General features: G+C 46.9%; 2 long non-coding RNA genes across 2 annotated transcripts; both read left to right on the top strand.

Moving 5' to 3' along the window:
* The first annotated feature begins 889 nt into the window (after positions 1-889).
* Positions 890-18866, top strand: LINC02129 (long intergenic non-protein coding RNA 2129). Its single transcript, NR_170200.1, has 4 exons — positions 890-914; positions 5498-5647; positions 15805-16079; positions 18785-18866. It is a non-coding gene; the product is annotated as a long intergenic non-protein coding RNA 2129 (long non-coding RNA).
* Positions 18867-23345: 4479 nt separating this feature from the next.
* LOC105371155 (uncharacterized) lies at positions 23346-26167 on the top strand. Its single transcript, XR_950956.2, has 3 exons — positions 23346-23957; positions 24062-24247; positions 24774-26167. It is a non-coding gene; the product is annotated as an uncharacterized LOC105371155 (long non-coding RNA).
* Positions 26168-26391: the final 224 nt, after the last annotated feature.

The raw sequence follows: 26391 nt of genomic DNA, 5'->3' as shown, positions 1-26391 counted from the left end.
TATTTCTGAGCAACTCAAATTTGTGGATGAGATGCAAAGATGCTGCCATATTTTACTTACTCTTCAGGGTCCAGCTTATCCCCTCCAAAGACGAAAGACAATTTTTAGGAGGGCTTCTCACGTGCACAGGACAAGCACAGTGGTAAGCCCTTCATGTCAGCCCTTTATATTCTCAAACTCGAGTGTGCATCAGCGTTATCTGAAGGCCTGTTAACACACAGATTGCTGGGCCCAGCCCCAGAGTTTCTGATTCAGCAGGTCTGGAGTGGGGCCCAAGAGTCTGCATTTCTAGCAAGTTACCAAGTGAGGCTGATGCTGCATGTCTGGAGACCATGCTTTGAGAAACACTGATTTAGAGAATTACCCTGATCAGTTGTCACAATCTTATGTAGAGTCTAGCATCTCTCTCTCTCTCTCTTTTTTAAAGAGAGGATCTCACGTTGTTGCCCAGGCTAGGGTGCAGTGGCATGATCTCAGCTCACTGCAGCCTCCGCCTCCTGGGTTCATTCTCCTGCCTCAGCCTCCTGAGTAGCTTGGACTACAGGCGTGTGCCACCACGCCCTGCTAATTTTTGTATTTTTAGTAGAGACAGGGTTTCACCATGTTGGCCAGGCTGGTCTCGAACTCCTGGCCTCAGGTGATCTGCCTGCCTCGGCCTTCCAAAGTGCTGGGATTACAGGCGTGAGCCACCGTGCCTGGGCAGCAAGTCCACTGCTGCCTCCCTGCAGCCTCAACCTCCAGGGCTCAAGCAGTCCTCTTGCCTCAGCCTCCTGGGTAGCTGGGATTACATGTGCCACCATGCCCAGATAAGTTTTAATTTTTTTTGTACAGATGGAGTCTTGCTATGGCTGGTCTCAAACTCCTGGCCTCAAGTGATCCTCCCACCTTGGCCTCCCGAAGCACTGGGATTACAGGTATGAGCCACCACACCTGGTCTATCATTTCTCTCTCTCTCTTTTCAAGAAGAAGAAGGAAAGGCCAAACAGGTTAATTTGCCCACAGTCACCACTGCCTGCTCTGTTTGCCTTTCCCGGGAAGCCAGTCCCATTCACAAGCACATCCCTGGCCCTACAGAGTTGCTGTATCTGAGGAGGAGGGATAGTGGGGGCATGGGAGGAGAGAGTGTCCATCCTTGCTTCCTCTGTCAGGTGGAGAGAATAATAGCTCATGCTTTTACCTTGTTGACTGTGCAGGGCACTGCGAACAAGTGCTTCACATGATCCACTCGTTCCTGCCTCACCGTGTGTGTGATCCTCATCATCCCATTTTACAGATGAGGAAAGTGAATCCACTTCATCCAACCAGCAGAGTCTGGAAGAGAGGGAGCTCATGTGGGAGGCTCTAATGGGCGGGGTCTGGAAGCGATGATGTCACTTCTGCTCACTTCCACTGGCCGTAACTTGGTCACATGATCACGCCTGACTGCAAGGAAGGCTGGGAGATGTGTAGTCTATCTGGGTCCCTGGAGGAAACTGGAAATGAGATTCGCTGACCACATGGTGGCCTCCACCTAGGCTCTTTGCATGCACTGATGCCCTTTAAACCCCAGAAGGAGATGTTATTAACATAGTTGCAAAGCTGTGGAACTGGCATTCAATCCCAGGCCTCCTAATTCCTCAGCACAGTGTTTCCTGGGCTTCCACAGAAGAAGAGGGGAGAAGCAGAATGGAAAAACCTGAGGACAGTAAGGTGAACATTGTCAATCAGGCTCCCATACTCTAGGCGTGGGAAGCTAAGTTAGAGGTGACAGGGGACCCTGAAGGTGGAGTTTTAAGACTATTGCTGCTGCTTTTGGCTGTGTGACCTTGGTGTTGTGCCAGACTTCAATTGATTTCAGTAAGGATGGCACCGTGTTCAAGAGGCCCAAGGGCTGGGTGCGGTGGCTTGCATGCTAATCCTAGCATGTTGGGAGGCCAAGGTGGGCGGATCACTTGAGGTCAGGAGTTCAAGACCAGCCTGGCCAACATGGTGAAACCCGGTCTCTATTAAAAATACAAAAATTAGCTGGGTGTGTTGGCGGGCACCTCTCATCCCCGCTACTCAGAAGGCTGAGGCAGGAGAATGGCTTGAACCTGGGAGGCGAAGTTGCAGTGAGCCGAGATCTTGCCACTGCACTCCAGCCTGGGCGACAGAGTGAGATTCCGTCTCAAAAAAATAAAATAAAATAAAAAGAGGCTGAAGAAGAGAACTGGAACCAGCAAACAAGATATAGGGTTTATTAAGGGGACTTACATACTGGGCAGTCCAGTAGTGGCGGGCTAGACAGGAGAACCACTACCATTTGTAAAAAGCTTGCAGATTATATAGTATTTCCACTTAGCACTCTAGCAATTTCACTTAGTGCACTAGCACCCCTAACAGCCTCCTCCTGACAACCTTCATTTAACCCAAAACAAAGAGCCTCCATCCCCTGTATGGCCTATGTTTCATGGGATGGGCTGGGTTTCAGATGTTCCTCGTAGATAAGGAATGAATCTGCACGTTGGCCACTCCCAGATTCCTTAGCGTGGAACTCTGAACACACATTCTTCTTAGACCATAGCGTCATTCTCAGGGTATTGCTCCAGTTAAGCGCTTGCTCTCAGGTGCATCTGCTGAATCGCTTCTCTTCTGAGCCTTGGTTTATTGTAATACCAAGATGATAAGACCCATCTTGTCAGATTATCTGTGAGGATGAAATAAAATACCACAGCCTGGCCAGAGCAGGTATATGATAGTGAAGGTTTAATCAGAATTAAAATCTAGGTCCAAGGCTTTCACCCGTGACTGCGCATTTGAATCACCTGGTGAGATTTTAAAAATGACCAATGTCAGGTCCCCACCCTAAGAGGGTCTGATTCACTTTCATGGAGTAAGGTCAGAACACAAGCACTTTATAAAAATCTCCCAGGTCATTTTAATATGCAGCCCTGCCTGAGAACCACCTGATCTATGACATTGACCTTCAACCAGAATGGACCAATTAATATCTCCTCCTTACTTGAGGAGTGATGGGGTCCAGGGTCTGGAATCTGGGGGAGGATTTTAGGGTTGGACTGAGGCTGAGGTTGACCTTGAGCCCCTTCCTGGGTCGCCTCCTGCCCATCTCTTTCCATTCACCAGAAGCTGAATGAGACAGAAGAGATAATATACTCCATCCGTTGCGCCCCTCCTCAGCCAGGCGCGGGAGGGCAGGTGGATCCGTCTGCAGGCAGGAAAGAGCTGATGCATTTCAACCGCATCCTGTGTAATGAAGGCCAGCTCTTTATCAGCCTGCCTGGCCCTGGATTTTTATCTCTGCCATCTGCTTTGCCTAGAGTGGCAGGTGCCAAAGCTTACAAATAGCCCCAGCCTGTACTTTCGTGTAGAACAGCAAAGCATCATAATTTCTGGGCTATTACCAGGTGGAACAACTTCTGCCAGCTAAGGTGACATGTGGCAGTTGGCATTTGAACAGGTTGCTTTGCAGGACCAGCAAGAGACAGTAACTGCCACCTCAGGGCTATGACTTTCAGAGAGAGAAGAAATGCCACAAGCTGATGACATTGGTTACTCACTTGATGTTGCCCTCCAGATGAACGGAGAGGCTGGGATCTGCAGCAGCGGGCTGGGCAGGGGGCAATTTATTTATTTAACAGAACCTTTACTCATGCCAGGCACAATTCTAAGTGCTTTTCAAATTATTATTATTTTGTTAGGACAAGGTCTTGCTCTGTCTGCCAGATTGAAGAAACTCCTGGGCTCAAGCAATCCTCCATCCTCAGCCTCCTAGTAGCTGGGACTACAGGGTGCGCCACCACCTGGCTAATTTTTTAATATTTTATAGAGACAGGGGTCTTGCCGTGTTGCCCAGGCTGGTCTTGAACTCCTAAGCTCAAGTGATTCTCTCACCTTGGCCTCCCAAAGTGCTGCGATTACAGGCATGAGCCACCATGCCGGGTCGCTTTTCAAATTTTAACTCAGTTAAATCCCCACCACAACCCTATGAGGTTAGAACTGTTATTATCTCCATTTTAACATGGGGAAACTGAGACAAAAGGGCTAAGTAAATTACTCGAGAGCCCACAGCTGGGCAGTGGCAGAGCTGAGGTTCAGATCCAGGTGGTCTGGCTTCAGGGTCACTGCCTTGTGCCTGGGGGCACCAAGAGCAACCCTCAACCCCACTCTTGGCAGGTTGAGGCTTGTGTGTAAATGGAGGTTCACATACCCTGTGTGCAATATTTACAAGTTATATATCAAGCTAACAACACTATGACATGAAATCCGTTCTGTCCTCCTGCCCTGAGAAATCTCTCTTCATAGTGACCTGAAAGGCCAGGTTTGCATCAGGTCTTTTCTGACTTCCCTGGGTTCTGTGCTAGGATGTGGGGGTCTGGGGGGAGCCGCCCAGTGTCCTCCAAGGTGTGGGGACCCTCTTGCCTGGATTTACAAGCTGTATTAGGTGAGGGACAGGGAAAAATCAGCACAGCACCTAGGTTTGTGGCTTAGGCAGGTTTTAGCCCAAACTCATGGTCCTTTGTGGAGTTCCCCTCCCCTAAGATTGAGTTACTTGCCATTTTTTTTTTTTTTTTTGAGACAGAGCCTTGCTTTGTCACTGTCAGCCAGGCTGGGGTACAGTGGTGTGATCTCGGCTCACTGCAGCCTCTGACTCCCAGGTTCAAGTGATTCTTCTGCCCCAGCCTCCCAAGTACCTGGGACTGCAGGCACGCACCACCATGCCCAGCTAATTTTTGTATTTTTAGTAGAGACAGGGTTTCACCATATTGGCCAGGCTGGTCTTGAACTCCTGACCTCGTGATCCACCTGCCTCGGCCTCTCAAAGTGCTGGGATTACAGGGGTGAGCCACTGTGCCCAGCCCGAGTTACGTGCCTTTTTATCTTCACCCTCAAGACTCTGCTTGTGGAGGTTAATTATAGACAGACATTTCCACTGACTCTGTGACCCCAGCTAGTCTCTAGGCCTCCTCAAGCCTCAATATGCTCACCTGTATAATGGGGCCACTTATAACTTCTTCCTTCCTATCTCTTAGTGAGTGAGAGGATGTATTAATACATAAAGTGTGCATGGCAGGGACTCCTGTGCATTCACCAAAGTCCCTTTCCTTTTCCTCCTGGGTACATAATCTATATTTTCCAGCCCACGTTGCTGTCATATGTGGCTATGTGACCAAGTTCTGGCCAGCAGAATGCAGGCGTGAGTAATGTCATTACTTCCAGACTTGATCTACTGAAACCTTCCCCACGAGTCCCCTTCTACTCTTCCCCTGACTGCTGGCTGGATGTGAGGATTCGGCAGAAGACTCTAATACCCAAGACAGGGTTGGCACACTATGGTGCATGAGCTAGATTCTGCCTGTGGTCTGATTTCATAAGTAAAGTTCTACTGGAACACAGCCACATCCATTCATTTGTGTATTCCCTGTTGGTGCATTTGTGCCGTAAGGGCAGAGTACACTCACTGTGTCAGAGACCCTGTGACCTACAAAGGCAAAAACTTCTATTATCTGGCTCTTTATAGAACAGTTTGCTGATGCTTGCCCTCAAAGATGGCAGATCCACAGATAGAAGGAGCCTGGTTTGTGAGTAGCAGCATCGGAAGCTCAACATGGATGGCTGCTGGGAATCTCCACGTGGGACTCTTCATAAGGGAGAAATCAACAGTTAGCACGTAAATCTTTGACATTTTGTGATTTGTTTGTTACAGCAGCTAGTATTACTTATCCTCACTAATATGCACATAGTAAGTTTGTTTGTTACAGCAGCTAGTATTACTTATCCTGACTAATACACACATAGTAAGCAAAAAAGAAAAGACAGCTTCCCTTGTGATCTATATTTTTCTTTTTCTTTTTTCTTTCTTTCTTTCTTTCTTTTTTTTTTTTTTTTGAGATGAGGTCTCACTACGTTGCCCAGGCTGACCTTGAACTCCTGGGCTCAGGCGATCTCCCAGCCTTAGCCTTCTGAGTAGTTGGAACTACAGGTGCATGTCACCATACCCAGCTTATATTTTTATACTCTCCATAAACTTTCATATTTGAAACAGCTCAGAAAAATGAGTGGTGCTAGCTGTAGCTTTCTCTCACCTCCAGGCCTTTGTACATCCTGTTCCCTCTGCCAAGATCATTCTTTTCCCATCTCTTCACCTCATTGTCTCTTACTGATCTTTTAGGCCTTAAGGTAGACAACAGTGCTTCCAGGCAAACTTCCCTTGCTCCTCTGTCCCCCAAGACCAGGTTAGGTGCCTCTATTACGTGCCACTAAATAGCCTTAGAGAAACAGTATACTTGAGTGGTTAAGAGCTGAACCCAGTTAGACTGCTTGGCCTCAATCTTGGCCTATCACAAATAAGCCATGAGACTTTGGGAAAGTAGCTTAACCTCCCTCTGCCTCAATTTCCTCATCTGTAAAATGAGAATAATAATATTGTTTATCTCATAATGAAGTGGGAATTAAGTATAGTGGAAATTAAGTGAATTAAAGTACAGTTGAGGCTGGGTGTGGTGGCTCATAGCTGTAATCCCAGCACTTTGGGAGGCTGAGGTAGGAGGAGTGCGTGAGCCTAGGAGTTTGAGACTGACCTGGACAACTAAGTGAGACCCTGTCTCTACAAAAAGTAAAAAGAATTAGCCGGGGTTGGTGGTATCAGCCTGTAATTCCAGCTACTTGGGAGGCTGAGACTAGAGGATTCCTTGAGCCCAGGAATTGGAGGCTGTAGTAAGCTGGGATTGTGCCACTGCACTCCAGCCTCGGTGATAGAGTGAGACACCATTTCTGGGGAAAAAAAGTTATACTAAGACTTCAACTGTGTGGGGATTTTGTGTCCCAACACCTGCATTGTTTAAGAGTCAAATGTACTTAGAATTACATGGGAGGAACTAAATAAGTGTCAGGTGACATTATCACATTATCACTATTCTTTCTGTGGCTCCTGTCACAGCATGCACCATACACGAATGCCATAGTGACACTTTTCCAGTGGACTGTGGGGTACTTGAAGCGTAACAGGCTTTCCATACATTTTGGTTGATTGAAAATGAATGAAGCAGTAACTACTGCCCAGTCCTCTGGGGCTTGGCCTACCAAGGCTCTCCAGACAGTGCCACCCCCTTGCAGAGGGTTTAGGGCTAAATGAAACTGCAGCTTGAACAAGGACAGTTTCTGATCAAGGGAGACAGACTAGAAGCCCTAGAACTCAGCCTTTTTTTTTTTTTTTGGTTGGGGTGGACAAAATCTCACTCTGTTGCCCAGGCTGGAGCGCAGTGGTGTGATCATAGCTCACCACAGCCTTGCTCTCCTAGGCTCAAGTGATCTTCCCACCTCTGCTTCCCAAGTCGCTGGGACTACTGGCATGCACCACCGTGCCTGGCCAATTTTTGTGTTTTTTTTATTTGTGGAGACAGAATCTTGCTATGTTGCCCAGCCTGGTCTTGAACTACTGGCCTCAAGCAATACCTCCTGCCTTAGACTTCCCAAATGCTGAGATTACAGGCATGAGCCACCATGCCTGGCCAGAACTCAGCTTTATCAGTCAGGCTAGAACTCAGCTTTATCACTCAAGATTCTTTGTTGCAAACCACAGAAACCACACCAGCAAGCTTAAGTACAGGAAGAATACGACATGATTCAATAGATCACAGAACTTCCAGAGGGCTATGATCAGATTTGGAGACTATGTATGCAAGCGGGGCACTTAAATTACACCACCAGACTGCTCTAGTGGAGAGCCTGTCCCTACTGTTTCCAGCCAGAGGCAAACCAGCTTGACTCATTGATGCCCGTTGTGATGGGGTTCCGGCCTAACTTCTGCAGCGGCTGCTGTGCAAGCAGCCTGCCTCTTGTGACCTGCTGAGTGTGTTTGCACAGACAGATGGCACTGAAGAGCTTGCAGAGTCTGGGAAAAGGGGACTTTTGATGCCAACTCCCTCATCTCCCAGAATCCTGGAGATCAGATTCTATTGTATCCCCTTCCCTTCCCTTCCCATCCCGTCCCTTCCCTTCCCTTCCCTCCCCTCCCCTCCCCTCCCCTCCCCTTCCCTTTCTTTTTGAGACAGTCTCGCTCTGTTGCCCAGGCTGGAGTGCAGTGGCATGATCTCAGCTCACTGAAACTTCTGCCTCCCGAGTTCAAGTGATTCTCCTACCTCAGCTTCCTGAGTAGAGAGTAGCTGGGATTACAGGCACATGCCACCATGCCCGGCTAATTTTTGTATTTGTAGTAGAGATGGGGTTTCACCATATTGGTCAGGCTGGTCTCGAACTCCTGACCTCAGGTGATCCACCCATCTCAGTGTCCCAAAGTGCTGGGAGTACAGGCATGAGCCACCGCACCCAGCCTCCCTCCTGCTTTTCCAAAAGCAGTGGTAGATGATAACAATGGTAACCAACATCATTGACTCCCCATGGGGCACTGAGCCATGACTCCTGATGGGCCACGTGTTTTGCAGCATCGTCTCCCATCCTTCTCACTACAATCCTGGGTGGCAGGTGCTGTTATGAGCTTCATTATACATATGAACTGAGGCTCAGAGAGGTTAAGCAACTCATCCAAGGTCACACAGCACAATTGAGAATTTAAATCGAAGAGGACTCCAGAGCCCAGATTCTTAACTACCACACGGTACTGCTGTCTTTACTCCCCGGGGAACTTAATTGATGGTTTAGACAATAGCGAGAGGGAGGGTGTGTATGCATTCATGAAACCCGGTCTGTGCCAATCTTCCCACCAGGAAGGGTGTTGTTGCAGGGCAGGATTGTGCATTTCAGCCGAAGTGGTGGCAGGGGAAGGGTCCCTGTCCTGGCAGACAATGAGCTTTTTGACTTCTAGTGACCAAAGGGTAAGAAATGGAACTAAGCTCTTGTCCATAGCCTGATGACGCCGATGCTCCAGGATCCTTCTTCCCTCCCTCCCTTCTCCATCCTCCTTCATCTTTCTTCCCCTACCATTGTCACCATCCCTATCACCACCACCCTATTATCACCATCCTCATTCAGCATGGGCCGCTATGCACCACTGTCCTCTTCATATTATGTCACCACCAGCCCATCACCAGCCCACCGTCCTTTATTATGACCATGACAATAACCATCACCCTGGGCACTACCACCACCACCGAGCCATCACCAAACTGTCAATGTCACCATGTCTACCGTCTTCCTGACACCCTCATCACCACCGCTATCAGCATCATCAACCCTTCCATCCCCCTGCCATGACTGCCTCTCTGCTGCCACTATCTCCACCTGCACTGTCAGCATCACCACCCGACTCTATGAGCCTGTTCACATCACCATTCACATCACCATTCAGTGATCGACTTCATTCACCACCCCCAGCCCTGTCACGATCATTCCACTGTGCTTGCCATCACTGTTGTCCCCCCAACTATCTTTTTTATCTTTTTTTAAGGTAGAGGTTCTTGCTCTGTCGCCCAGGCTGGAGTGCAGTGGCACGATCATAGCTTACTAGAACCTCAAACACCCAGGCAACAGGCATGTGTGATGACCATGCATGGCTAATTTTTATTTTTTTTTAATTTTTGTAACCTGGGAGCATACATTCAAGTTGCCCCGAATATACACTCCCCCAGCTAATTAAAAAACTTTTTTTTGTAGAGATGGGGTCTCTCTATGTTGCCCAGGCTGGTCTCGAATTCCTGGCCTCAAGCGATGCTCCCCGCCTCGGCCTCCCAAAGTGCTGGGATTACAGGTGTGTGCCATGGTTCCTGGCCGCCATCACCAATATTTTCACCAGCACCAATACAACCCTGCACAAGTCACGAACACTTTCTGAGTCTCTCCTGGGCTTTAGGCTAGTGTTAAATGCCAAAGATGAAAACATGCTGATGAAAGGGACTGTGATTTGTGTTTTCCGTCATTGCTATCATCAGCGATTACTGGGCTCTCTCATTCATGCCTTATTCACCACCATTCCCTGCCTAAACAGTTGCTTTGAGCAGAAGTGCATCCTGTAAAACGTGTGAGTTTCTCCAATATCAAAACACGCCCCAGAGCCCAGCTTTTGCCTTTCCCCTTCCCTTATCCCACAGGCAAATCCCACTCACCGTTCCCTTACTGGTTTTGGTTTGGTGTCACCAGAGAGTACATTTTCCCCTCTCTCCCATCCCTCTCCAGGCCTCTGCATGCCTGTCTTTGACCAACTTGTAACTGGGCTTTAAAGCTTCCCAGCCCCAATATGCTGATATAATTATGATCATATGTTAGGCGGGTTTTGTGAGCCTTAATTAAATGTCCCTTGGCTAAAAGAAGAAAATGGCAAAAATCTGCTTCCCATCGCCAAGGCTGTGCGGGGCCTCTGGAAACCCGTTGTCTTTTGGGTCTGGGTGGCGATTCTGAAGAAAACAACCTGTCCTCCCGGCCAGGCCACAGAGAGGAAAGAGAGGCTGAGCCTGGAGGCTTGAATCTGGCCCCAGATGACCGGTCAGAAGCAGGCAGATTTCAGCTCATTTCAAGAGCCTGTGGTTGGTGGAGTGGGTGGGCTTGGTGGGCTCCGGCGTCACCGTCTTGGTAATAGAATGAGCCCTTACACTAATGCCATTGATTGTAACTGTAATTAGCGGATTTAAGGGCCGAGGATTCAATAGCTCCACAGTCATTCTAACATGCCACGAGTGGGTTAACACTTGTCATTTCCACTGTTTCCTTGGCTTTCAAAGACAGGCAGCTGCTTTCCTTGAAGGGGCTTCATAGGGGCAGTGGGGAGATTTGGGTCCAAATCCTGGTTCTGTTCCTTGCTGTGTGATCTTGGCAAGCCCCTTCACCTGTCTGTGCCTCAGAAGGTGGAAAACAGAGATAATGGTAGTGAATACTGCCTAGAGCTGTGGTGTTGATGAAACACCTGCGTGCTTGGCACAAGGTAAGTGTGCAAGAAGTGTTTTCTGTTAACATTGTTAATTTTTTATTTTATTTTGTTTTTATCTTTTTTAGAGACACGGTCTTGCTCTGTTACCCAGGCTGGAGTGCAGTGGTGCAATCTTAGCTCACTGTAGCCTCAACCTCCTGGGCTCAAGTGATCCTCCCACCTCAGCCTCCTGAATAGCTGGGACTACAGGCATGTGCCATCTTGCCCACATTACTACCTCTTATCTCTGTTTCTCTCTGTCCACCCACACAGATATGCTTTCTCAGATTTTCTGTTCATGTGGGGACCATGTTTCAGAGCTCCCAAGGTTACAAGTTACTATGCCCAGGTAATTAAAAAATTCTTTTTGGTAGCAATGCGGGTCTCACTATGTTGTCCAGGTTTGTCTCCAACTCCTGGGCTTAAGTGATCTTCCCGCCTCAGCCTCCCAAAGTGCTGGGATTACAGGTGTGAGCCACTGTGTCTGGCCCATTATTAACTAATTAGTGCATCAAACAAATGTGTCAGAAATTCCAGTGGATTCTAAGTGGACATGGGCATGTTGGGATATCCCCAGAACACTAGTAGGTGTGGGCCTACCATCTGCGTTTGCAGGAGGACTGAGAAATATCCAGAAAGCAAAGGCCTTTAGGAGCAGCAAGAAGCAGGGCCTGGAGGAGGATAAGGCAAGTGAGGCATTCAGGGCACAACATTTAAGGAGACCCCACTCTCAGGAGCTGACCCTGCACTTTCACGAGCCTGAGAGTGAGGGCCTCCTTAAATTTTCCATTCTGGGCACCTCCTTGGTCTCACCCTGGCAAGAAAATGGACCTATCCAGCTTGTTCCAGTGATCAGAGCTGGGGCACAGAGTTTTATCATAAGACTCTGTTGCAGCCAGAAGTTACCACAATGATGTTGCAGACATTTGTAATGCAATGTGGTTATGTTGTTTCTTTTTTTCTTTCTTCCTTTTTTTTTTTGAAATGGGATCTTGCTATGTTGCCCAGGCTAGACTTGAACTCCTGGGCTCTAGCGATCCTCCTGCCTCAGCTGCCCGAGTAGCTGGGACTATAGGCATGCATTGCTGCTTCTGGCCAGTGTGGTTTCTTTTGAATAGCTATGAGAAGTCTCTTTATTTAGGAGCTCTGCCTCTCCATGTCAGAAGTCAGGAGTGCTGCTTTGTAGCTTTCCTTGCAGCAGGAGTACAGGACCCAGTTCTCAGGAACAGCGTGAGGAGGGGCCTGGCACTAGCAGTGGGCAGGATAGCTGTAGGGGCCTGGTTGCAGTATTCTTGCAGTGTAATTTGGGGACTTCTGGCTTTGTGGGGTCCAAGCTTGATTCTCTGGTTCTTCTGGAGACTTGATGAATGTCCTTTGATGAATGCCTTTGTGACCTAAAGCCGCCATAGTGGAGTCTGTTGCTGGCAACCAACGACTCTGACTAGGATATGGAGGTGTCTCACGAAAGTTAAGGCAGGAATATCCCTAAGTCTTAAGAAAGGCCTGGAGCTGGGAAGTGGAAAGGTATCAGCATGCCATTTCTCTCTCTTTTTTTGGGGTTGTGGTTGTTGCTGTTTCTTCATTCATCTTTCTTAGGTTGAAAATAAATTTAAAAAAGAAGCACAAGATTTCTTTTTCTTTTTTGAGGGACAGCTTTTGCTATGTTGCCCAGTCTGGTCTTGAATTCTTGGGCTCAAGGAATCTTTTTGCTTCAGCCTCCTGAGTAGCTGTGACTACAGGTGCATGCCACTGTGTCTGGCTTTCTACATCTCATCTCTGTTTCTCTCTGTCCATCCACACAGATACACTTTCTCAGATTTTCTGTTCATATGGAGGCCATATTTCACAGCCCCCAAGGCTACAAGCTTCAACCATTACAGAAATTAGCCCCGTTTATCTTGGCCTCAGCACTAAATTCTTATGAGAAATAAATCTGGTTGGCTCAATTTGGGTCAGTTGGCCATGCCTGGTCTAATCACTGTGTCCAGGGAGTAGAATTACACAGTGCAAATATTTCTGATAAGGTCCCTCCCATTGGCAGTTTCCAGGGAAGGAGAATTGATCCTGAGCTGGAACAGATATCCCCAAGGGTCTACCATAATCAAGAAAATTTCTATAGTTAAAGCCAAAGAGGCTACTCAGCTCTTTCTGGCAGCTCCACCCTGTGGGAGGCTGTCTCATTCCAGGGTTGGAGAGAGCTGAAATTAAAGACAGAAAGAGCAGTTTCAGCAAACACTGGAACACATGGGGCCCAAGTGGCTCTGATATGAGGCCACTGTGACATAGTACATTTTAAAAAATCTGGCTGGGTGCAGTGGCTCATACCTCAAATCCCAGTTATGCAGGAGGCTGAGGTGGGAGGATCATGTGAGGCCAGGAGTTCAGGATCAGCCTGGGCAACACAGAGAGACCCTGTCTCTAAAAACATAAAAAAATTAGTTAGGTGTGGTGTCACACGCCTGTAGTCCTTGCTACTCAGGGAGGCTGAGGCAGGAGGATCAAGTGAGCCCAGGAGTTCAAGGCTGCAGTGGGCTATGATTGCAGTGGGAAGACTCTATCTCTAAAAAAGAAAAACAAACAAACAAACAAATGGTTTTCCTCCCCTACTTCCCTTCCCTGCTGCAGAGCACCACACAGCAGTGATGTCGGGAGGTATGGGGTGATGGGGGGTACCTGGTGAGGTAGCAGCTGATCCCAGGGGGCTCACTTTTCACTTTGTGAGTACATGCAGGTACCCTTTGGGTAATCTCCTAAATACTGATGGTGGAAAAATAGGACTCTTGAGGCCAAAGATTCTTTTAAAAGCAGGGAAATCCAAGTCACTACTGAGAACAAGGCAAGTAGGCCCGGGAGCCCACCCCAGGTGTGATGATCATTTACTCAACATCTGCTGTTTCCCAGGCATGCAGCAGGGATGCTCCACTCTCCTCAAACACCAGGATCCCAGTGCAACTTGCCATTTTGCTTTATCCACAGTAGCGTACAGAGCTGTAAATAGCTGCAGAATTCAAAGCAAGAAGAACAAGAAAATCTTTGGGTCAGTTTTGTAGAAACAAAGTGAAACATAATGTTTCATAGAATACAGGCTACTCTGAGGAAGAAATGCCATGCCCTTTTGAATAAGAGGCTTAACCCATGGGGAGCTCAACACATCAGTGTGGGGGTGGCTCATCCATATGTTACTCAATACTACGGTTTTGTTCTAGGTCTCATTGTCTGCTGCACAGAAAGCCAATCACTGAGACAACAAGTATTGCCATGGAAGAAGGCTTTATTATATTCAATGTTTATACTATTATATTTATCATATATTATTTATATTACATATTACAGGCGATGTCAGCTGGAGAGAGGGAGACAAACCTCAAGTCCATCTCTCCCCTCCAACTAAAGTTAGGGGTTTATATAGTGGGGAAGAAAAACAAGTGGGATAAGGAAGAGAAGCTGGTCAACAGGCAGCAGGCATTTTTTTTTTTTTTTTTGAGACAGTGTTTCCATCTGTTGCCCAGGCTGGAGTGCAATGGCACGATCTCGGCTCACCACCACCTTCGCTTCCTGGGTTCAAAAGAATCTCCTGCCTCAGCCTCCCAAGTAGCTGGGATTACAGGCACCTGCCACCATGTTTGGCTAATTTTTTGTATTTTTTGTAGAGATGGGGTTTCATCATGTTGGCCAGGCTGGTCTCAAACTCCTGACCTCAGGTGATCCACCTGCCTTGGCCTCCCAAAGTGCTGAGATTACAGGCATGAGCCACCATGCCCGGCCCAGACACATCTTATTATACAAATGTCAGTTTATTAAGCTTCAGTTCTATGGGCATCCAGATTGTTGGAAAATGGGGCCAGTTTTGCATATGCAAAGTCCATGCATGTGCAGTGAGAAGCACTGACCCTTCCCTCTTACCTATCTGGGGACCTGCCTGCTGGGAATGGGAGGGTCTGGTGATGTTTCCTCCTGGCAGGTGCCCAGGAGCCTTGGCTTCCATCCTGATGTCTGCCTGCAGCTCTCAGTCACTCCACTTTCTTCTCTGAGTCTCCAAAGTCAACACACACCTTCTATTCCTGGAATTTTAACTGTGCTGACCCTTTGGCTTTTCCCACACTCTTGTTCAACTTCTTCCCACTCATTCTTCAAGACTCCTCCTCCAGCATTCTTTCTGTGGCAGACACTTGAAATTACCTACCCAATATTCATTTCTTCCTTCCAATATTAATTTTGTAATTTTTGATTTTTAAATTTAAATTTAATTTTTATTTTATTTTAAATTAATTTTTTTGAGACAGTGTCTTGCTCTGTTGCCCAGGCTGGAGTGCGCTGGCATGATCACGGGTCACTGCAGCCTTGATCTCCTGGGTTTCAGTGAGTCTCTAGCTTTAGTCTCCCCAAATACTGTGATGATGGGCATGAGCCACAGCACTTGACTAATTTTTTTATTTTTTGTAGAGATAAGGTCTCTCTATGTTGCCCACACTGGTCTTGAATTCCTGGGCTCAAGAGATCCTCCTGCCTTGGCCTCCCAAAGTGCTGGGATTAGAGGTGTGAGCCACTGTGCCCAGCCCCTTATGATATACCCAGTTCACAGGGTGAACACCCCTAATCCAAAAAGTCAAGATCCAAAATACTCCAAAACCTAAAACTTTTTGAGCGCTGACATGATGGCACATGTGGAAAATTCCAGACCTGACCTCATGCGACTGGTCACAGTCAAAACACAGTCTGAGCTTTGTTTCCTGCATAAAATTATTTAAAATACTATATAAAATTACCTTCAGGCTATGTGTACAAGGTGTGTATGAAACATACATGAATTTCCTGTTTAGGCTTGGGTCCCAGCCCCAAGATATCTCATTATATATTTGTAAATATTCCAAAATCTGAAAAAATCTGAAATACTTCTGGTTCTAAGCATGTCAGATAAAGGCTGTTCAACCTGTATATGTTTTTGTTTGTTTGTTTGTTTGTTTTTGCAGAGTCATGGAAGACAGTCAAATGGGTACTCAGCAAGTACCTTCCCAAGCTCCCTTGCAGGGATGGTGGTCATGTGACACAGATCTGACCAATGAGATGTGAGCATTGCTCTCCTCTCCCAGTGCATTACCAGAAATGGGATCACATTTGCAGAGCTGCACAGAGGGATGCTTCAAGGAGAGGGGACGATACTCGTCCAGGATCTGGGATTCCCAAACATCCTTCTGGTCAGCCAGTATATGGAGCCGTTGTTAAGCTTTGGAATCAGACTTCCTAGGTTCGTATCTGGCTTCTGCACAACTTACTGGTTGTGTAATCTCAGCCTGAGCCTCAGTTTCCTCATGTTGAAATAGGAACAGTAATCATACTATATTCTCAGGTTGTTGGGGCAACTAGATCAGTGTGTAAGCCCCATGAGGGGAGGATCCTGTTCATCTTACCATGACATATTCACATTCCAGTGTGAGTACCTAACAGTAGGCACCTAACAGATTTGTATAGAGAAAATAGATGTACAGGTCTTAGCAGAGTGACCAGTTCAAGAAATCTTACCTAAAAAACTAAATTGACTGGGCATAGTGGTTCATGCCTGTAATCCCAGCGCTTTGGGAGGCCGAGGGGGGTGGATCACCTGAGGTCAGGAGTTTGAGTGCAGCCTGGCCAACATGGTGAAAACCCGTGTCTACTAAAAATACAAAAAAATTAGCCAGACACAGTGGCACGCACCTGTACTCCCAGCTACTTGGGAGGCTGAAGCTGGAGAATCGCTCGAACCTGGGAGGCAGAGGTTGCAGTGAGCTGAGATCATGCCATTGCACTCTAGCCTGGGCGACAGAGTGAGAATCCGTCTCAAAAAGACAAAACAAACAAACAAAAAAACCCTAAATGAATGCCAGGCATGGTGGCTCACATCTGTAATCCCAGCACTTTGGGAGGCTGAGGTAGGAGGATTGCTTGAGGTCAGGAGTTCAAGACCAGCCTGGGCAACATAGTGAGACCCCGTCTCTATAAAAAATTAGCTGGGCATGGTGGCGTGTGCCTGTAGTCCCATCTACTCAGGAAGCTGAGGCAGGAGGATCACTTGAATCCAGGAGTTCAGGGAAGCAGTGAGCTATGATCCCACCACTGTACTCCAGAGCCTGGGCAACAGAGTGAGACCCTGTCTCTAAAACAAAGAAACAAACAAAACACCCAATTCTTACTGAGGCCATAGATTCCTGCAGAAGATTCCAGGGCAGCAGAGGGAGGGGGAAGACATGGTTAGCTGGTGCCCCTTCCACCTCTCTCCATTGAATAGATCAGCTTTTATCAGATTTATGCAAGGGATTCATTCCTGAAGCTATGCATTATTTAAGACTAAATTTCCCAGAGGGATGCATGTAAAGCAAGACGTGCATTATTTCAAAATTGGAGCATACGGCATGTCTTTATTAATATTTTTAAATTGCCTCGTATCTAAGTCACACAATGCAAATTTGCATAAAATGAGATGCACTGTTTTAGGATTCTCGACAAGGTTGAGTGGGCAAGAAAGTTTCTGAAGGTTAAAAAGCTCACACCGTAGTACTGGCCTCCCAAATTTGTGGTGGGGGCTGCAATTAGTGGTGAGGGTGGTCATCATCATTTGACATTAAAAGTAGCTTAATACATGTTGAGGAACAATTTACTTTAATGACATTTAAACTGATTCAAAGTTATTGCGGGAAACTGAATTATTGAAAATTAATTGGTCTTCCCCCCCCTTTTTTTCTCACTGCTTTTGGTTTATCAGAAAGAAGCGAGAGAAATCTTTCCTTCCATTTCCCTAGGACCCTGCTCCAAACTCAGTGGTTTTTAAATCCCAGTATGCATATTAATAACCCAAGGAACTGGCTGGGCTCCTGCCCCCTAGAAGTTGAGGTGGACCCAGGACTCTGCATTTTTAATGGACACTTTAGGAGACTCTGATGTGGGTGATAAGAACACTGGGTGTTTGCGGCTACAAGGTGCAGGAGAATTAGCTGGCTTGTCTGGGAAGCAGAGGCAGAGGGAATGGGGATGTGGATGGGCTTTGTTGCAAAGGGCCCTTCAAGGTGGCAGGTCTCAGGTGGGAGTGGCTCTGTGAGGGCTGTGCAAGCTGAACTTTCAGTCCTGAAGCCTTGGGAATATTGTTCACGGTGCCTGAAACAGGGTTGTGCCAGTGGAGAGGACCTTTGAGGGGCGTATATCATCCATCTCAAAGGGTGATTTTTAAGAGAGGTATTGTGCATCAATCAGGGTGACAATATCTGTAGCAAATATGATAATCACTCACTAAGCGCCAGGCCCTAGTCTCACTGTCTTAAATACACTAACTCATAGGTCTTGTTATGCTATTACCCCCATTTTACAAATGAGGAAACTGGGAGCACAGAGAAGTTCAGCGACTTGCCCAAGGTCACTCAGCCGGTGAACGGCAGAGCCAGCGTTTGAATTTAGGCAGTAAGCTATAATGTCTATTCTTGGCCCTGTGCCCTTTGGCCTCAACAGAGACTGTGAGGATGGTGACCACACAAACTGAAGACTGAATCCTTTTTAATTTGAACCAAATCCTGAGATGCTTGTAAGATCCACAGAGAGAGGAGGACTCTGGAAATTGACCATTGTTGAACTCATTGTCTAGGCTAACTGATACGGTTTGGCTGTGTCCCCACCCAAATCTCATCTTGAATTGTAGCTTCCATAATTCCCATGTGTCATGGGACGGACTGGTGGGAGGTAATTGAATTATGGGGGTGGATCCCCCGCTACCGCTCTCGTAGTGGTGAATAAGTCTCATGAGATCTGATGGTTTTGCTTGGCTCTTTTGCTTGGCTCTCATTCTGTCTTGTCTGCTGCCGTGGAAGAAGTGCCTTTTGCCTTCTGCCATGATTGTGAGGCCTCCCTAACTATGTGAAACTGTGAGTCCATTAAATCTCTTTTTCTTTATACATTACTCAGTCTTGGGTATGTCTTTATCAACAGCATGAGAACAGACGAATACACTAACTAATGGAGGAATGACTTGATTCAGAAATGTAAAGAAATGGGACGGCTTGCACCTCAGGAGTTCTAGAGCAGTTCCTGCCTGTGGCTCCAATAAGAATGTCAAGGTCACTGGATTGCATTTTATGTGTTTTCTTTCCTAATTTGATTTTTGGAATAGATGCTGTGCTATATTTACATCGCTCGAAAATCAAAATAACATAAAAAGATATTTCCAAAAAGCACTAATCTATGTCATCTCTCTGTCCATTGTGTTCTCCTTCTGCTCGTAGATGGTCACATTTAGTACTTTGCTGTATCTTCTTCCAGTGTTTTTTTTGTTTTGTTTTGTTTTATTTTTTGACAGAGTTTTTGCTCGTTGTTCAGCCCTGAATGCAATGGTGTGATCTTGGCTCACTGCAACCTCTGCCTCCTGGGTTCAGGTGATTCCCCTGCCTTAGCTTTCTGAGTAGCTGGGATTACAGGCGCCCGCCACCACAGCCGGCTAATTTTTGTAATTTTAGTGGAGACGAGGTTTCACCATGTTGGCCAGGCTGGTCTCGAACTCTTGACCTCAGGTGATACACCCACCTCAGCCTCCCAAAGTCCTAGGATTACAGGCATGAGCCACTGCACCTGGCCTTCCAGTTTTTGTTTTGTTTTGTTTTTATTCAAATACAAGCAACCGTGTGTGTGTGTGTGTGTGTGTGTGTGTGTGTGTGTGTGTGTGTGTGTGTATTTATGTTCCCCCTCCTTAATTACACAACAGGTAGCAAACCCTACATACTCTTCTATAAGCTGTGTTGACGAAAAGAGTCAAACTGTAAAATATTTAAAGAGATTTATTCTGAGCCAAATATGAGTGACCAATGGCCCATGACACAGTCCCCAGAAGATCCTGAGAACATGTGCCTAATGGGTGCCTAAGGTGGTTAGACTACAACTTGGTTTTATACATTTTAAGGAGACTTAAGGCATCAATCAATACACATAAGATGTACATTGGTTGGATCCGGAAAGACAGGACAACTGGAGGTGGGGGCTTCCAAGTCATAGGCAGATTCAAAGTCTGATTGGCAATTAGTTGAAGAGTTATTATCAATAGAAAGGAATGTCTGGGTTACAATAAGGGGTTGTAGAGAACAAAGTTTTTTTTTGTTTTGTTTTTTGTTTTTGAGACGGAGTCTCACTCTGTTGCCAGGCTGGAGTGCAGCAGAATGATTTCAGCTCACTACAACCTCCGCCTCCCAGGTTCAAGCAGTTCTTCTGCCTCAGCCTCCCCAGTAGCTGGGACTACAGGCGCGCACTACCATGCCCAGCTAATTTTAGTATTTTTAATAGAGACAGGGTTTCACCATATTGGCCAGGCTGGTCTTGAACTCCTGACCTTGTGATGCACCCGCCTTGGCCTCCCAAAGTGCTGGGATTACAGGTGTGAGCCACCGAGCCTGGCCCAGACCAAAGTTTTGTTATGCAGATGCAGCCTCCTGGTAGCAGGCTTCAGAGAGAATAGATTACAAATGTTTCTTATCAGACTTAAAGAGCCTGTCTATCCATAATTCCAAAAGGGAGGAGGATATAACGAGGAGTGTCTCGCTCCCTCTTTCCATCACGGCCTTGAACTAGTTTTTTGGGTTAGTTTTGGAATGCTCTGGCCGAGAGAAGGGGTCCATTCAGATGGTTCGGAGGGGGCCTTAGAATTTAATTTTGGTTTACATCTGCTTTCTTCCCCCCACTTTACAGTGTACTGTATTGTGAAGATCTTTCCATATCAGTGCAGAGACAGCTTCCTCACTGTTGTTTATGTTATTTATGGCTGTAGAGTGGGGTGTGCTGGCACCAGCTGGCTGATGGTGTGCTGGCTCCGAAGAACTGATTGCTAAACCTTCAGCGATTTTGTGAACCAATTGATTTCACATAGGTGGCTTGAAATAGGCCACAGTGGTAGTATTTGCACAACAGAAATGGGCAAACTGTCTACCTCAGGGCTTCCCACTCAGACAGCTGGTTGTTAAACGTTTATTGCACACCTCCCATTGTATAGATATACCAAGGTTCAGGTAGCCAGTCTCCCATACATGGATACTTGAATTATTTTAAATATTGTTTTTTATGGCCGGGCATGGTGGCTCCTGCCTGTAATCCCAGCACTTTAGGAAGCTGAGGTGGGCGGATCACTTGAGGTCAGGAGTTTGAAACCAGCCTGGCCAACATGGCAAAACCCCATCTCTACTAAAAGTACACACACACACAAAAACCTAGCTAGGCCTGGTGGCAGACGCCTGTAATCCCAGCTACTCGGGAGGCTGAGGCAGGAGAAACACTTGAACCTGGAAGGTGGAGATTGCAGTGAGCCAAGATTGCACCACTGCACTCCAGCCTGGGCGACAGTGAGACCCTGTCTCAAAAACAAACAAACAAACAAACAAACACAAAAAACAACAACAAAGTATTGTTTTTTTATAAATGATGCTTCAATACGTGACAGATATCTGACCTGAGAAGGAAGAGAAAGGGGATTGTGACAGCCACTAGGATAGAAATTACAATAAGCCCCTAGCCTTACCACTATAAAGAGTGGGATTCTTGGAGCAGCTGCCTTGACATCCAGGAGCTTGTCAGAAATGCAGACTCCCAGGCCCCATGACAGAACTGCTGAATTCGACCAGGACATTAATGTGTGCTACAAAGATTGAGAAGCACTTCCCTGACAATCTGCGTGTGTGTGTGTGTGTGTGTGTGTGTGTGTGTGTGGTTGATTCTATTCTTTTTCTTTGTAGAGATGGGGTTTTGCCATGTTGCCCAGGCTAGTCTCAAACTCTTGGCCTCAAGTGATCCACCTGCCTCAGCCTCCCAAAGTGCTGGGATTACAGGCGTGAGCCATCGCACCCAGCGTATTGATTATATTCTATTTTATACTTTATTTAATTCCTTTTTGTTGTTCTGAGGTCTTATTTATTTTTAAGAATATAATTTTATCTTTACATGTTTAGAAAAATTAGAAAATGTGGATAACACATAACTAAGAAAATAATAGCTTCCTTTCCTTCTGTCCAGAGTCTATCACTATTAACCCCTTTGAGCATCATTTCCAGGTCTTTTCCTGTGCATGCCTTCATACGTGTTAAATCAAGTTTAGCCTAAAGCTGCCTCCTTACGTATTTTAAGTTTGGCCTAAAGGGTTCTCCGTACATGGTGAACTGTAACCTAAACGGAGGTGTAAAGAGACTGTAACCGGTTCTTGTGCCAATCACCGAGTTTTGGCCCATCAGAGATGGTTTGAATGGTTTGCCCGGCTAATTTTTAATTTTTTTTTGGAGCGATGGGGGACTTGCTGTGTTGGCCAGGCTGGTCTGGAAGTCCTGGCCTCAAGCGACCCTCCTGCCTCTAAGGTGGCGCTTTTAACCCTTTGTGTACCACCACCACAAACCGCGGCCCAGTGCGTTAATGGGTGGAGGGAGGGGGAAGGGGAACGCTGAGAGCCCCCTTGTGGCCGACCAGGGTATTGCGTGTGCCCAGGCTGAGTGGGAACAAGGAGCGTTAAGAGTAGATAATTGTAGCATTGCAGGTGGGCTACAGATTTAGAGACAGGAGACCACGTGCCTACATGCACGAGCGTGCACACGCACTTACACACATACACACACGCCTGCACACATACACACATGCATGCACACCCTGATAAGTGACCCATTCCTTAGCCAAGGCTGCACAAGCGTGGTTCCCCAGAGCAGGAGCAAAGTCCGTTTATTTGCCATGAACTTCCCCTGACTCCCTCCCTGGTTGTCAGCTTTCTGTATCCTTTTCCTTGTAGCTATGGCCCTTCCAGAGCCGAGAGAGCAGCAGAGCTCTTGCTGTGGCCTAAACCTTACATGCTTGAACCTGACAGTGGAGGAACTTCCCTAGCAACCTGGGCACTAACTTTGACCACTAATGGCTTTGGAACCAGGTTCCCTAGCAGTGAGGCTGCACCCTTACCCCGGGAAAGAAAGCAGGGCCAGGACCCAGGTTCTCCTGAGCAGTGTCTATGCTGCCACCTGCCCAGAGTGCAGGGGCGTCCTCTTCTAATAGGTGACATGTATTGAGCACTTACTGTATGCTGGGAGCTGCCTGTGCTTTCGCTTTATCTGATTTAATCCTCACAGCAACTCTCTGACATGGATTAAGCACTTAGTGAATACTAGTTGAGTGGATGCATGATTATCCCTTCGAATTAGATCTTATTCTTATTCTCCTGTTAGCTCCCTGACCTCCTTTTTTGTTTTTGTTTTTGTTTTGAGATGGAGTCTCACTCTTGTCTCCCAGGCTGGAGTGCAGTGGCACAATCTTGGTTCACTGCAACCTCCGCCTCCTGGGTTCAAGTGATTCTTCTGCCTCAACCTCCTGAAAAGTTGGGATTATAAGTGTGCGCCACCACACCCGGCTAATTTTTGTATTTTTAGTAGAGACAGGGTTTCACCATGTTGGCTAGGTGGGTCTTGAACTCCTGACCTCAAGTGATCCACCTGCCTCAGCCTCCTAAAGTGCTGGGATTACAGGTGTGAGCTACCACATCTGGCCTCAGACTTCACTTTCTACCAGTCTCTGTGCTTCTGGCGCCCCGGCTTCCTTGCTGTTCCTGGACTACTCTTGGTGCACTCCTGCCTCAGGGCCTTTGCACTTTTCCTTTGCCTGAACTCTGCACCCAGATATCCACGTGGCTGGCTTCCTTCCCTACTTCATCAGGCCATTATTCCAACCTCCCCTTCTCTGTGAGGCTTTCCCCAAACGCCTTATTTAAAATTACAACACTCCTTCCCTCCCTCCTTATTCTCTTTCCCTACTTTATTTTCCCCAAGCAAGCATTATCTTCTCCCATTCTATACACAGTACGTCCTGGTCTTGCTCATTGTTGATCTCCGCTACTTGGATCTACACCTCTTCTCCCCTTCTGGCAGGGATCTCTGCCTTCGCTGCTATCTCCTGGCTACCTGTGCCAGGGCCTAGTTCAGAGTAGATGCTCAGTACATATATATTGAATATATCTTGAATGTATGAAAGAACAAATGAGTTTCCTTTCTACAAAGGAGGGGACTGAGGCGCAGAGAAATGAGCTGATCACTTGTCCAAAGTGACATGGCAAATAAATGACAGCTGTGGGATTCAAGTCCTGCCAGACTCCTAAGCTTGGAAGGTAGGGTTGCCTGGGAGAAATGCTGGATGGGTCTTTTTTGATGATCACTAAAGTAAGTTGCCTTTGAGTGAAAAGGATTCAGTAGCTGAAGTTTGCAAACACAGTGCCACGAAGCCCTTGCCGCCCTGCCTTCCTGTCCGGGAGATGGCTCCAGGTAGCTCCAGGCAACCAGAAGATGTGCTGGGATGGAGGCTGTGGATATCATCTTTGGTGTTATTTTGCTTCTAGAGATGGGAGCTCTTTTCTGAGCCTATTTGTAGGGACATCTGCATATACGAGCCACCTATCTGGTAAGTCCTTCCCATGGTCCGAGGCCTGTACAGCAGAACCCGGGCATGAGCTCAGGACTTTGTCTATACTACTGCAATTATGTAGTTAATTGTGCCAGTGTGTCCATTAGCTGACATAATCAGGGAGTGAATTAACTTCTGCTTTTCTGGCTATATTTCAAAGGCATTTTTAAATGCTTATTTTTTTTGGAGCCTATGCACTCTTCAGAAATTAAATTTAGGCTGTGATTTTATTACCCTTTTTATTTAATTTATCCTAACGGTTGCATTCAAGCTGTGAACCAGCTGTTGACTTTGAAAAAACATTGTTCAATTTGAAGGGAACATTTTAAAACTTAATGTAATGGCTGTAAGTAATCACTACAGCAATTACACTTCCCAGCGTTGTGCGTCACATGGGGGCATAGTGGGGATTTGGAGTAATGCTCCCAGTTGGGCCAGGTGTTGCTAGGGCAAGAGACAGGCAGCAGGGATCCGGGGCAGAGGGACCAGCTGACCACACTGACATGTTTCCTCTCCCACTTAGTTGGGGCCAGGCCCTGGGGAAGAGAGTTTGCAAGAGGCCCAGGTTTAGTTGAACACGTGGAACCATTGGTGAGCTCCTAGCTCCTGCAGTCCTCTTTCCAGCCACTGAGTCTCATTGGAAGGCTTTGCTCTTTTCTCTGCCTCCTGCCATGGATAGAGGAATCTAAGAGGTTCTGAGATTGGATGGAATTCTGGGGCTCAACTTGCACAGAACCTTTTCATGAGTCACTTTCTGTCCTTGTATTCATTCATTGACTCATTTACTCCATCACTTTGGTAGACTGCAATGAAAATGGCACAAATGCTTCCTATGCCTGTTGTGTGCAATGCACCTCTCCCATGGAGAAGTGAAGTCCAGTTCTCCAAATCTGAAATTTCAGCTTGATTACATGATGACATTTAGTCACTGGGATCTTAGCAAATGCATTGCCAGCAGAGGCTGGGCAAGCACTCGCACACTGAGGCTGGTCCTCTCTTGCTGCCCTTTGACCTCCATGTGAAGAGACCCGGGATAGCCTGCTGGATGACAAGAGACCTTGTGGAGCACAGTTAAGCTGGCCCAACTGGTGTGTCCCCTGGAACCAGCCTGCTAACCTGTGAGTGAACCACCTTAGACCATCCAGCTCCAGTGAGCCAGCCCAGCAAACCTATTGAATCATGAGCTAAATAAAGTGACAGTTGTTTTAAGCCACTATGCTTTGGGTGGTTCACTATGCAGTAAGAGTAAACTGAAATAATAGGCAAGTATTCAGTGAGTGCCTAATCTGTGCCAAGCATTGAACTTGGCCTTGGGGATGTGTAGCCCCGTGATGGGCATGAAATCCAGGCTGGTCAATGAGAGCACTCCATCCCCTGATCACAGCTTCCTGCTGGCTGGTCTGCCTTTTGCTTGGGGTGGGCAATCCGTGCTCTTGTCTTGCCCTGGTCTGCAAACCTGCATGATCTCTGGCTCCCAGGTTCAGCTCCAAGTCTCTCCTTATCATCACCCTGAGGTGGGCAAAGGCCTTGCCAGAAGGGTTAGTAGAGATTAGTAATTGATGACTTCAGGCTAACAGAGAGTTCAAATACTGACTTCTCTGTTTATTACCATTTACTGTTGTGAAAATAAGTAATTCAAATCTAAGCTGTTGGAACTTTAAAGCATTTTGAGCCTTAAGGGAATGTGATTATAGGGCCTGAACCACATGAGAGGCAGCTGTAACTTGGGCACCTGTCACCTTTGTTTCTCTGGTTAGATTAGCCTTTCTCCTGCCTATATTGTATTGTAAATGTTGTAAAGGACTAAAGGGCTCCAGAGAAGACCCTTTCCCTCTTAACTGTTGATCTTCACTTTAGATAAACTTCCCTTTCTGTAGTCCTAGCCACACAAAAGGCTGAGGTGGGAGGATTGCTTGAGCATGGGAGTTTGAGGCTGCAGTGAGCTATGATTGCACCACTGCACTCCAGCCTGGGTGACAGAGTAGGACCCTGTCTCAGTAAGAAGAAAAAAGAAACTTGTGACTTAGTGAGGATGCGTCCATTGGCCTAAGCTCACAAAAGTGGGATTGGAATCACACAAAGACCTCTTGGCTATCATTGTCTAAAGTGGACTGTCAAATACAGCCTCTTAAATTGGAAAG

Source organism: Homo sapiens, chromosome 16, assembly GCF_000001405.40.
Source record: "Homo sapiens chromosome 16, GRCh38.p14 Primary Assembly".
Classification (NCBI taxonomy): domain Eukaryota; kingdom Metazoa; phylum Chordata; class Mammalia; order Primates; family Hominidae; genus Homo; species Homo sapiens.
The sequence above is the reverse complement of the archived record's forward strand: the minus strand, read 5'-3'. Positions and strand labels throughout refer to the sequence as shown.